A 14,123-nucleotide genomic window follows, 5' to 3' on the forward strand; every position below is an offset into this window, starting at 1 on the left:
CAACAAGTATATGAATAGCTATAATTTACAGAATAGAAAGTGATTAGATTTAGAGAAATGAGAAGTACCAGAAAAAAATGGCTGGCTAGAACAATTAACATCTTTGCAATGGGGATGGTAAGGGTGTTCATACTCAGAAAAAATACATGGAAGAGACTTCAAGCTGTGAAAACAGTATCAAGAAAAGCACAGAAACACATAGAGAAATTATTGACATTTCTTTCAGATGCACAAAGGACAGTAAAGCTGCAGAAGAAAATTAAAAATGAATTATTACATTTAGTGATTGAAGATCAGTCAAACTTCAAAGAACAGATGACGAAGTGGGTCTGCAAATCTAAAAATAAGCTTAAAATGATTACTTTTCCACAATCAAGAAATAAGGAGTTTTCAGATTATGGCATTAATATAGGCCTTAGCAGTAATATACTTTTTTCTTTTCAAAAATTTCATGGATTTAGTGTAGTTTTGTTACATGGATATATTGTGTAGTGGTGAAGTCATCGGATAGTGAACATTATACCCAACAGGTAATTTTCCATCCCTGAACCTCCTCCCACCCTCCCACCTGTCGGAGTCTCCAGTGTCTATCATTACACTCCGTATGTACATGTGTTCCCACTGCTTATGCCCCACTTATAAGTGAGGTCATGTAGTATTTGACTTTCCGTTTCTGAGTTATTTCACTTAGAATAATGGCCTCCAGTTTCATCCATATTTCAGCAGTTATATTTTTAAATAATCCAATTGAAACATCATAATAATTCTAGATTTAAAGAACAATGGCATTTTTTCTCTCTCTTATTTCTGAAACTTGAATGTTCTCCAGAACAAATTCATGAATTGTTTTAATAGTGTTGACAAGAAATGTAAGCTTTATATGTAATCATTGTAATCTTAAATTATTCCTTCTTCACATTATAACACAAAAACCTATTTCAGATAGATCAAAGATCTAACTGTAAAATGTAAAATAATAATGCCAGAAGATAACACAGGAGACTTTTTTCCATGATTCTAGGATAAGCAAATATTTCTCTAAAGGTCCCACAGACTATAAAGGAAAAGACTATAAAGTCCAGACTATAAACTGGACTTAATTAAAATTAGGACGTTCTGTTCATCAGCAGATAGGATTAAGAAACTGAAAAGACAAAGCAAGGAGAGGAATAATAAATGTATGATATACTTTATGTCTAAAAAGGACATATACCAAAAACAAAAAAAAAACCTTACAAATTAATAATAAGAAGGTATACAACCTAGTTTATCTACCTGAGTTGTGCAGAAGCATACCTTAGGTCCCAGTAGTTCTGCTCGAAACTACATAGCCAATTTTTCAAAAAGTGTAAATATGTGCACAAAAAGACATATGTGAGATTGCTCTTGGCAGTACTATTTTTAATAGTCCTAAACTGGAAGCAATCCTAATATTCAACAACAGAATGGACAAATAAATTGTGGTATGTTCATCAAAGTAAAAGCACAGAAGTACATATAGAAATTACTGACTTTTTTTTTCCAGCTGCATAGAGGGAAGCAAGGGTGGTGAAAAACACATAAAAATGAAGTTTTAAAGTTGTTTTTATTTATTTATTTATTTATTTATACCGAGCTTGGAGTGTAATGATGCGATCTCAGCTCACTGCAACCTCTGCCTCTCAGGTTCAAGCGATTCTCCTACTTCAGCCTCCCAAGTAGCTGGGATTACAGGCATGCGCCACTACGCCTGGCTCTTTTTTTATTTTTAATTTTTATTTTTTAGTTTTAGTAGAGATGAGGTTTCACCATGCCCAGGTGAGTCACGAACTCCTGACCTCAAATGATCCACCCGCCTCGGCCTCCCAAAGTGCTGAGAGTACAGTCATGAACCACCGCACCCAGCCAAAGTTTTTTTAAAATTGGTCATATAGCTATTGTATATATAGCTACATACAACAACAGGAATAAACCTCACAAAAATATTGAAATAAAAGAAAATAGACACAAAAGAAGCCAGACAATGGAATTTTTATAGACCACAGACTCTTTGGCTTCCAATGTAATGAAAGTTAACACGGGCCAAACAGATTTCCCAGACAAGGCTTTTATTTGGGGCTTGTGCTTGAGTGTAAGGGAGACAGCAGAAGCAAAAGAATCCTCCAGCTGACTCCCTGAAAAACCTGGTGTGGATTTTTTTAATTAGGCAGAGCAAGAGAATTGACATCATGTGTAAGAAATTATGCGGGCTAGGTTGGGCAAACCTTGTGAGGGGTACCGGATGCAGGTCAGCATCTGTGGTTGTGATGATTATCTTGAGTAATGGGCCATCTGGAGGTCTGTCCAGAGGCAACAAGGATGCAAATCAATTTTTCAGCATTCCTTCCTGAGATGGGACACTCCACAACCTTGATTCCATATTTGGGTCTTCTAAGGCCCGTTTCTGGACTTAAATAACATTCACCCTATTTGAGTACTTTCTACTTACTGTTACGTTTTAAGCACTTTCATGCATTAACTCATCTTAATACAAAAGTAACAGATGAGATAGCTACTATTATTTCCTTTTAAAGAGAAAGGATTCAGGGCTGCACAAAGTCCACTGACTAGTGGCACTTCATGAATCTAATTTAGGCAGCTTAATTTAAATTCCATGTTTTAAAACATTGCCCTACACTGATTCTACCTCCTAACACAACAGGAATTCTATTCTTACACCTCCCCAGTAGAGGATGTACTTACCAAAAAAGTGGTGATAGAACAGACATGGAGTCATGAAATTATAACAGTGAACAAAATGTCTATATATACTCACTTTTGCAAATTCAAGGATAGGAAAACACATAAGAATAGATTTAAAGATAACTATGCACATAAGCAGACAATAATAGCCACATGGAAAAAATATGATATTGACAGAAAAATGTATCCTCTTTGTAGAAATGTATCTTGTTAGAATGCTTTGTGGTGCACGTAACTGAATACCCTAGTCACTGTGATTTAAACATTCATTATTTATTTTAGCAAGAAAAATGGAAGATAGGTGTTGCAGTGATTGGTCAATGGCAGGGAGAGTCAGGCCCAGTTGGTCTTTTTGTTTGGCCAGGGTAATGGGTTTCTGCCCTCAGGCTTGTCTGTCTTCTTTGCAAAGTAAGAGCTGCATCTTTCAGTTTCACAGACTTACACACTGGTACCTAAGGAGACATTTTCTCTTTTTGCATCTCTTTTTATTACAGAAGAAAACCCTTGCCAACCCTCCTCCTTACCCCCAAGTCTTCCTTTCAACAGCTAGGGCTGCATGACATGCCCATGCTAAATCAGTCACTGGTGGCAGGGATAGATTGTGATGACTGGCTTTGACTAATCAACATTCGCCTCTTGAAGATGCCAGTTTGACAGCATGTGAGAGGGTGGATATCCCCGGTAAATTGGAGGCTATGGGCTTGGAAGGAAGAAAGGGGTGGAAGGCTGGTTGTTGGTTAGGCAACCACCAGTGTTTGCCACAAGAAAGTAGTAATGCTAAAAACAACCAGGGCTTTACAAGTAACAGCCTTAGCCACAAACCAAAGTGCCACTTTTACGTGAATTCTGTGTGAAGAAGACATTTTCTTATGTCTACACACAGATTTCTCAACTACAAATAAAAAACGTGAACAGTATCATCTTTGAGTATTCAAGAATATTGTGTTTGATTTTACTGTTCAAAATGGCATTTCCAACATATATACTCAATCAGGAATGACAAGATGTATTATTGAAATGCTAACATGATGAATGCTTAAATCACCTGCAGTACCCAAATTGGAAGCCAAAAGAAATGCTGAGTCAAAGGATTTTTTTCCTTGTTTAGAGAAAGATTTGGAATTAAAGACCTAAAACAATTTTTATTTTCTTTAATGTGAGCCTTTAGGTGTTGGATTCATACATTGTGTAAGAATGTTTATAACTGAAATATTCAAGAGTTACAAATTCATTTAACTTCACTTCCCTATCATTTTAATTCCCTTCTTCCTAATTTGAATTCTCTTTGCAAATGTTTCAAGTAATATTATTACTTTCATGGCTCTTTATTCAATATTCAGTATACTTTTCAATGCCACATGGACATTGCAGTATAAAAACATAGTCTTCATCTGCTGTAACAAATGATAGTTCTTTTACCATAAACTTTGGAGGTTTTCTATCAGTTTCTAAGAGGGAAAGCCAGTTTTCTCAACCCTGTGCATGGAAATTATGAATAGTTATTTGAAAAATACAAAGTTAAGAACTTTTTTGTACTTAAAACTGCTAAAAAATTGCAAAATTACACTTCTATAAAAGTCTTATGTGCATCAAAACTTTTCACCTTCTGCACCTTTCTAATAAGTGATGCTTCCCTTTTCTTTGTGACAGGAAGCAAGGTCTCACCTCCAGCTGAGGCTTAGAGTTGAGTTTTTAGGTTTGATAGATATGGTGTAGTTGAATGGTGGAAAGAGACAGGCAACAGCTTGGGATGATTTGAGTTACTACCATAATATTGTACTTTATTTGATCATATGCTAGATACTCTAGCATTTAGAAAGAAGGAAAATTGAGACTATGATTCACCACATTAGGGAAGCAAACATAGATGGATTAAATAATTAAAAATAAAAATAAAAAACAGCCCCACACTTGGTAGGGTAAGCTGTTGTGAATTTAAAATTAGTAATTTTCTTACCCCAGATTACAACATGAACAAAGGAACGGCCTCTCCTTTCACTACCTATTCTAGCGCTGGGGTTTCAATTCCTGTCAACAATCCCTGATAAATTAATGGTACCCTTTATATCAACTCCTTAAATGTATACATCATCAGAAAAAAAAGTGCTATGGCCACCTTGAGAAGACAATGCCTCATATTTTATGAATAAAGAGGGGGTCTCAACTGTCAGGCCATTCTGAGTCACATATTGACCCCAAATTCTATTGAACATCTTCCCCATCTGGTCCTCATCAAGGATGCGGACCCCTGGGAAAAATAAAAGGAAAAGTATTTTTCCATTTCGTCCCCTATTTCCCCTTTTGTGCCTCCAAGATTGAAGGTGTTATCCCCATCCCCCACCCACTCCATGCTCTATGGGGCAGCCCCTCGTCTGTAAGGACCCTTAAAGGCATTTCAGCATCTCAGCAGAAAGGAACTGACTGGGAGGAGGATCTTTGAATGCAGGGGAGCTGGGAGGACTGAGGGGGGTTGGGGCCCTCCTTGCACACATCTCCCACCAGGGGCCAGACCTTCCGGGCTTGGGTCTCGGGAGCCCAAAGCACGCCCACAAAGGCCGAGCGCCCTGGCTTCGCTGCGTTCCGGAGAAGCAGGGCGGGCTGCTTCTCCCGGATCTGGCGGGCCTCTGGCCACGGCTGGTTGGAGGTGGGGGTGGGCGAGGAGGGGCGCTCAAGTCACGTGCCCGCGCTGGGGCCGCAATAAATGCTCGCGAACGCGAGAGAGCGACGGAAGCGCTAGGCGCCTGGTTCTGCGCGTACTGGCTGTACGGAGCAGGAGCAAGAGGTCGCCGCCAGCCTCCGCCGCCGAGCCTCGTTCGTGTCCCCGCCCCTCGCTCCTGCAGCTACTGCTCAGAAACGCTGGGGCGCCCACCCTGGCAGACTAACGAAGCAGCTCCCTTCCCACCCCAACTGCAGGTCTAATTTTGGACGCTTTGCCTGCCATTTCTTCCAGGTTGAGGGAGCCGCAGAGGCGGAGGCTCGCGTATTCCTGCAGTCAGCACCCACGTCGCCCCCGGACGCTCGGTGCTCAGGCCCTTCGCGAGCGGGGCTCTCCGTCTGCGGTCCCTTGTGAAGGCTCTGGGCGGCTGCAGAGGCCGGCCGTCCGGTTTGGCTCACCTCTCCCAGGAAACTTCACACTGGAGAGGTAAGGGCGATTCTAAAATGCATCGCTGAGTCGTCAAGCTGCCACCCTTTCCTATCTCCCTTTGCCTTCTTAAACTGTACTTAAAAAAAAAAAAAAGCCAACTGTACAGAGTGGTTGGGCGCGATGGGTGGGTGGGCTACCCGGAAAGCAGCGACGATAGAAATTAGCGGGAGCTCTAGTTCTTGTAAGTGACTTTGTTGGTTTCACCTACTTTCTCTGTCGCGCGCTTTCCATTTGAGTTCAGAGAAAGAACAGTGTGTGCCTTCACACTTGAGAGGAAAAGCTCTCAAGTTGCCGGGGAGCTGCTGGCTTCTTCGGGTGCAGGCCACAGATTAGTCACAGACTTTCCAGGAAATAAAGATTGAGTTCTTGACCTGAGCCTGAATAGGAAGAGACTTACCCCAGGAACCCAAACCATTCATTTGCAGTAGTTCACGGGGCCCCCTAGATGTAGCCATGGATGCATATATGAATAGCCTTTTGTATTTCTTTGAAACATTCACTCTCAATTTTAGAATGCTGTGGACATTCTGAGTGTGAAACAGAGATGGGCCACTGGAATAAAATAATACCAAATAAAATATTCACACCTTAAAACTCTTCATAGAGAAACATGAACCTCTAGATTGAAATCAAACGTTCTAGGTAGATATAACATCCTTTGCAGGGTATATGTAATGTATAGCCACTTAAAGTCTTGCAATTCACATAGTATTTTCAAGCTTTGACTCTTCTAGGCTACTTTTGCCATTTACTTTTGGCCTCAGGGGTATTATCTTGGATAATACAGTTGTCTAGTTTGTGGAAATTGCATTGTGAAAAGTCCTCTGGAAGAAAAAAAATGGGTTGGAGATAAGTTATTTCAAAATGTGAGTGTCCATTTTCTGCTGTTAAATAGACAAATCAAACTGGCACACTTCCTTTGTAACTGTTGTTTTGCTCGTGTTATTAGAAAATTCATATCTGCTGGAATTTTCATCTTAATCACATGACATGTCGTTATAGCCAAAAGGAGTGGAAGAGCCTGTCTTGGAGATTTTCCTGGGGAAATCCTGAGGTCATTCATTATGAAGTGTACCGCGCGGGAGTGGCTCAGAGTAACCACAGTGCTGTTCATGGCTAGAGCAATTCCAGCCATGGTGGTTCCCAATGCCACTTTATTGGAGAAACTTTTGGAAAAATACATGGATGAGGATGGTGAGTGGTGGATAGCCAAACAACGAGGGAAAAGGGCCATCACAGACAATGACATGCAGAGTATTTTGGACCTTCATAATAAATTACGAAGTCAGGTGTATCCAACAGCCTCTAATATGGAGTATATGGTAAGGACATTTTTCAAGTGGTATGTACAAAAGAAATGTTTATTCATGCTTTCAGTCAGCAGTCTTCATGCTGTTCTTTAATCATTTATTTTATATGAAGTTGAAAAAAGATTTTCTTTGAGGGTATTTTCCTCTGCATATTCGTTTATTAATGTTCCTTTTGTTTCTAAGAGCTCTTGACATTCAGAGTAGGACGAAATGCCTTTAGATGCAATGTTCCTACTAAGTGCTGTAAATTCTACTCTCACCAGGAAGGTTAATATAGTGAAAATGCAAAACAGCTGGTATATTTGCTGTTAATTGACTTAGCTGAAAATTTACTTCCTAATTCCTGATAGAACCTTTTTATGAATGGTGGATCTGAAAAATTCAGACTAATAATCGGAAGAAACTTTCTGGATTGCTGAAATATATTGTTCCTAATGGGTCTTTGTTTCTTATAAACATGTAAATGACATTGTAAAGGATACATTTTTATGGTTGCTTTATGTTGAAGAGTGCTTTGGCAATGGCTTTTTTCTCCCCTTGGATTTATTATTTGTGAACTTGAAGCATGAAAATAAGCCTTGGCAAAGGATTAATTTAAAATATTCAGCTTATCCTTAACAACCTTATATTTACTCTGAGTAAATTTGCAACTTTAAGGGACATAATTACTTTAAGACTACTAGCATATAACTCATGAGTATACTGCCATTTCATACCCTAAACATTTAGAAAACTTTTCAAAAATCTATTATATTCCTTCCATGAATGAGGAATGCACTAGCAAAGCCTGATAATAAATAGTTATTGGTGATGGCAAAACTTATTTAACAAACATTGGAAATGGCATTTTCATTGCAGTTAATTTTCATACATTCTAGTTTTTTTCTGTATTTACCTTAGTTTTGGTGGATATTCTTTATTTAGATAATTTTCATGAAGCATGGAAGTTCTAAGTTCCTATTGCCCGTTATAAAGTATGGCATTACACTATTTTAACTTTTACCAGAAAAAATTATTTTACCCTAAAGAAAGTAGGTGGCACTCAAGAGACTAATCAGGGATTAAGAATTGAGACTCAGGAGTGAGGCTGTCTGGGTTAAACTTCTGGCACTGACACGCACTAGCTATGTGACATTGGGCGCTTGCTAATTTCTCTCTACTTTGGTTTCCTGGTGTCTAGTATTATATACTCACCTCAAAGGATTATTGTGAAGATAGAAGGAGATAACCTGGACAAAGTTTAGCTCATTAGCAAACATACTTCAAGATCTCAGTAAATGTTACCAAGACATATATAACTAATTTTATGTTTCCTTATATGGTTTAAATATAATATCTAAGGAAATTGTTAGCTCTTCTCAAAATACTGTGCAGGATATGACATCTGTAATGTCTCATATTTCTGCTTCTTGTATAGTGTTTGTCTAAAGTGAAAAATTCTATGACTTCTTCATCTGTGAGACTTCAAACAGAGTAGCCAGTTCTGGAGCCCCTCCAACTAGGCTACTGTATGCTTATTCCATGTGAATAGGTATTCAGTTGCTTTTTACTTAAAATAAGGAAGACTTGGGAGTTCAAACCCACAAAATGAAATCTGAGAATATTTGTGTATGTTTTAAGTAATATGGAAATCATGAAAGAACAGTTCTGTGATTCGTTTTCATGTCTGGCTTCCAAAAAAAATAATAATAATAACTGCCTATTGTATGATGTCTGGTCTGGGATGTTTATATGAGTTTCTTTTTAGTTTCACTGGTTTCAGTCTATCCTTGAAATGTAGATTCAGAAACCAGCCAGGGTTTATGTTGTGTTGCCCTTAGATACTATTAGCACTGGAACTGTGTCTTGGCCATTAACTGGGCTGCAGAGAAGTGCATTGCCCAACTGTAATACACATTTTCTAGAGTACACATTTAAGGCGAAGTCTAAAATACTATTTTATTTGAAATACTGTCGAGTTAGGCATTTTAAAACAATGTAAATGAGATGTAGATCATTCTTATAAAAATCCAATTTATTCAAATCGTTATTTAAAATGTATTTATTCTGAGAAAACAAACCTTTAAACTGGCTAAAGAGCTATTTCCTGTAAAATCTCTAGTGTCCTATGATAAGTACTGCTGATTTTGGCCCCTTATACCCTATGTGTCTGTCATTTCATGTTAAATGTTTGACTAACCAGTTACCTATTGGTTCATATTTTAGTTAACTCTTTGTCTTTAAACCTATGGGAGCCAGGCTATATCCAGACATTATTAATATTACATTTCTACCCCTATTCTTTTACTCATTTAACTTTTAGGGTTAAAAATTGAGTCTGGGCTGGGCACAGTGGTTCACATCTGTAATTCCAACACTTGGAGGCAGAGGTGGGAGGATCACTTGAGGTCAGGAGTTCCAGACCAGCCTGGCCAACATGGTGAAACCCCGTCTCTACTAAAAATACAAAAAATTAGCCAAGCATGGTGGCATGTGCTGGTAATTCCAGGTGCTGGGGAGGTTGAGGCACCAGAATCGCTTGAACCCAGGAGGGGAAGGTTGTAGTAAGCTGAGATCACACCACTGCACTCCACCCTGGGTGACAGCGAGACACTGCCTTAAAACAAACAAAAAAAACTTGAGTCTGGAAAGCCTTATTTTCTTTTAAAGAGCTCATTGGCGTTGAGAATAAAGAAATAGACTCATTTGAAAATTTGCTCATAAGCAAGGACACAAGAATTCTTTGTTCATGTCTGTAAGTAATGCCAGAGGAGCACAGAACAAATGGAACATTTCTAACTTTGAGAGCTAATCAGTGGGTGAGATGAGGTACATACTGTTTCTGAAGGTGGTCAGAAACATGAATCGTAGGCAAGAGTTGGGGGTATACATCAATTAGAGGAAGAGGAAGAGAAAAATGCAGGGTGGCAGGAATTGGCAGGCTGGTTGTGGGGAACTGGAAGCAGATTAAGTTCATGGAAGCAGATTAGTTGATGAAAGCACAGACCTTGTGGCAGAGTCAGGAAGGGGAGAAATAAGTTATTGGTGATAGAAACCAGTAATCCTAAGGAAGGAGATTACCTACATTTAATTTGGGGTAAATGGAGAAACTGGAACTTTTAGGTCATTCAGTGATACTGTTGTTGAAGTGGTAGTAGATTTTGGAGGAAAAAATACGGCTTTGGATCTAGATTTCAGCAGGTTCACATTTTGCTTCTCCTGCTTATTGGCACATGAACCCTGATAGTCAGCAACCATTCTAGGCGTTGTTCTTCTCATTGGCAAAATGAAAGAATATAAACCTTATATGTTTATTGGCCATTTTTATGTTTTTTTTTTTTATTTGAAAAATGTCTGTACATGTCCTTTGCACACTTGTTAGTGGGGTTGTTTTTTTTCTCATTGAGTTGAGTTCCTTGTAGATTCCAGATACTAGTCCTTTGTCAGATGCGTAGTTTACAAATATTCTCTTCCATTCTATAGGTTGTCTGTTTACTCTGTGGTTATTTCTTGCTGTGCAGAAACTTTTTAGTTTAAGCACCATTGGTCTATTTTTGTGTTAGTTGCATTTGCGTTTGAGGTCTTTGTCATAAATTCTTTGCCTGGGCCAGTGTCTAGAAGAGTTTTCCCTGGGTTTTCTTGTACAGTTTTTATAGTTTCAGGTCTTACATGTAAGTCTTTAATTCATAAATCATGCAGTGTCGCTCAGCCATAAAAAAGAATGAAATCATGTCTTTTGCAGCAATGTGAATGGGACTGGAGATCCTTAAGTGAAATCACTCAGAAACAGAAAGTCAAATCTCCTATGTTCTCACTTACATGTGGGAGCTTAAATACTATGTGCACATGGACATAGGAAGTGGACTGATAAACACCGGAGACTTGGAAAGGTGGGAAGGGTGGCAAGAGATGAGAAATTATGTAACGTGTATATTACATTATGTAATACATGTAATTATGTAATGTGTATATTGTACACTATTTGGGTGGTAGTTACACTAAAATTACAGACTTCATCACTACACAATACATCAATGTAACAAAACCGCACTTATACTCCTTAAGTCTATTTAAAAAAAAAAAAAGAAAACAAACCTGATAGGTTGTAGTGAGATAAGACATTTGCTTCTGTGGAATAGCTTTGCTTTCTTCAAGTGTTTGCCGTATGGGTTTTAAGATCCCATTGCTTGGTTCTTCCATATCCCCATGCTCTTATTTCCCACACATCTCTGAAAAGTTTGTTTCCCAACTTTTCATTTCTGTCCTTTTCCCGTTCTACAGGGACTTCTCTACTCCTTTGACTTTAAATATCCTATGTTTGTGGCTCCATGTCCTGTATCTCCAGCTGACAGCCTTGTCTTTGAGCTTCATTTTTATGTTTCCTACTGCCCATTGGACCATTCCATGTACTGTTACTCCACAGATATAATACTGCACACTGCAAGTGTCAAAACAAAAACAAAAAAACTGCCTTATCCTTTTCCTCCACCCTCACCCGCCAGTCTCTTTGTTGTTGATTAATATCACTAACATCTTCTCAGTACTTTCTAAGAAACATACAAAAAAAAAAAAAAACCAGAAAATTGGGCACATCGTTAACTTTTTACCATACATTTCCATATATCACACACACACAAACATCAATACACCATTACTTGCCAAATTGTGTAGGTTCTGTCTCAAATGTCTTTCGAATCCCTCTCTTCTATTTCATTCTAATCTTTGCTCTTTTTATACCTACATTGGTACCACAGATGCCCACCTAGCAGACTATACCAATCCTATTTTTTTTTTTTTCGAGATGGAATCTCACTCTGTCAGCCAGGCTGAAGGGCAGTGGCACAATCTCAGCTCAGTGCAACCTCCACCTCCAAAGTTTAAGCGATTCTCCTGCCTTAGCCTCCCAAGTACCTAAGATTACAGGTGCGCACCACCACTGCCAGCTAATTTTTATATTTTTAATAATAGAGATGGAGTTTCATCATGTTGGGCAGGCTGGTCCCAAACTCCTGGTCTGAAGTGATCTGCCCACCTTGGCCTCCTACAGTGCTGGCATTACAGATGTGAGCCACCATGCCAGTCTTTGTACCTACTTTACTTCTAATTTATCTCACTCTCCTCACCATTAGTAAAGGTGACTTTTCCCTCAAACCAATCTGCGCTGGTTGCTTAGTTGCACAAAAGTTCTGTTGACTTCTGGCTGCTCACAATTTAAAGCCCACCATGATTAGCTTATAAAGGGAAGCATGTTGTCCAGTCTGCCCCAGAGTGGTCAACTCCCTTGTGTTTATTTGAACCTGTGTTCACATTGAATTACTCAATGTTCTTGAAGATGGGCATAACTCCTTATGCCCTTGTGCTGGGCTGGAGCGCAATGGTACTGTCTCGGCTCACTGCAATGTCCGCCTCCCAGGCTCAAGAGATTCTTCTGCCTCAGCCTCCTGAGTAGCTGAAATGGTGGGCGTGTGTCACTTTGCCTGGCTAATTTTTTATTTTTAGTAAAGATGGGGTTTCACTGTGTTGGCTAGGCTGGTCTCGAACTCCTCACCTCAGGTGATCCACCCACCTCAGCCTCCCAAAGTGCTGGACAGGTGTGAGCCACCAGACCCGGCCACAAACTCTTACTTTTCCCTCCAAACTCAGCTTAAACCTTGTCTTTCCTATAAAGCTCCCTCTGCTCTCGCCATTCCACTGCTTCATTCCTACTTATTTAAGCCTATTTATAGTATTAAAGCCTATTTCTTTTGCAGTGAAATATCATATTTGTTTTCCTTTCTAAGACTGAATTGCTAGAAGGGTAAGTATCATACCTTATTTATCTTTATAACTAAGCTTGGTGAATAGAAGGGCTACTCAGTAAACATTCATTGATTGAATATTGTTGAATGCTCAATAAATACTTGTTGAATGAGGGGATGGATGGATGAATAGGTAAGATTATATGAAACAAATATGGAGGACAGGTAAGACAGAGAAATTAAAATAATAAAAGTTCTGGAAGGTAGGATATCACCAAAACCAGAGATATCGATGTGGGAAATTGGAAACACTTGAGAACAAGGTATAAATGCTTCAAATAATTCAGGATTTTTTCCCTAGTTTTTCAAATTTTCATGAGCTGCTAAAAATTGTCCTATAACATAGAGCTACTAAACTATTAGTAAAGGTATTGAAATGTTTTGGAATTTAAATAATAAAACAGATTGATGAGTACTTACCCCTTGTTACATATTTTTAACATAGAGTCTCTAAAACATTATAGATAAAGTTCAAAATAGTTTGCTACTATACAAAGTGTGTCTAAGTGTAGAATGTACTTCAGCAACCAGGGAGGGCACCTGACCTAAAAAGGACACATGGGTCAACTATGTAAACTGTTTCTTGCTGTTATTACTGTTTCCCTGTTTTTATGAGAAGTGTTGGCAGACCCTCTACTGGGGGGTTGATTGCTATGCATGCCTCCTCTGCCCTCATGTATTGGAGAGGCTAGGGGCAGAACCTTCTCATGACACTTTTCTAACTGTAAGACGAAACACATCTGAATACCTCTCCTTTCGCTAGGCAACCAGAACCCAGGGGCCAAATAACTGGTGGTACTTTCAGTCCTGGGTGTATGTTGATGCAAACAATGTCTTGGTTTCAATTGGTTACTTATGTTCTTTCTAAGGCCATGCTTAAAATTAGAAATTATGGTTTTTTTTTTTTTTTTTTTTTCCTTCTGTGCTTCAGTATAGAAGATAACTCCAGAAACTGGACATGGGACAACCTAGTTTGTTGAACAGGGTGATGCTAATCTGGAATATGCAAAAGTGATCTTTAGCTTGTGAATTGCTTCATTTACTCTTATAAATTCATATTTTCTAACATTATTTGCTATCAGCGGTATATGTCCAGAATAAATGTAGATAAAGAAATGATGGCCTTATAACTTATTTACCCATAGCTTGTTTCCTAATCTTGGTACAAGT

At 38.8% G+C, this 14,123-nt stretch overlaps 1 protein-coding gene across 1 annotated transcript in view; it reads left to right on the forward strand.

Moving 5' to 3' along the window:
• The first annotated feature begins 5,447 nt into the window (after positions 1 to 5,447).
• The window catches only part of CRISPLD1 (cysteine rich secretory protein LCCL domain containing 1), a 50,054-nt gene continuing 41,378 nt past the window's right edge, over positions 5,448 to 14,123 (forward strand). Inside the window, exons 1-2 of the mRNA NM_031461.6 lie at positions 5,448 to 5,863; positions 6,869 to 7,188. Coding sequence (NP_113649.1) covers positions 6,931 to 7,188 — 258 coding nt within the window. The 5' untranslated portion in view covers positions 5,448 to 5,863; positions 6,869 to 6,930. The remainder of the gene's footprint in view (positions 5,864 to 6,868; positions 7,189 to 14,123) is intronic.

The sequence above is a fragment of the Homo sapiens genome, chromosome 8 (assembly GCF_000001405.40).
Source record: "Homo sapiens chromosome 8, GRCh38.p14 Primary Assembly".
Classification (NCBI taxonomy): domain Eukaryota; kingdom Metazoa; phylum Chordata; class Mammalia; order Primates; family Hominidae; genus Homo; species Homo sapiens.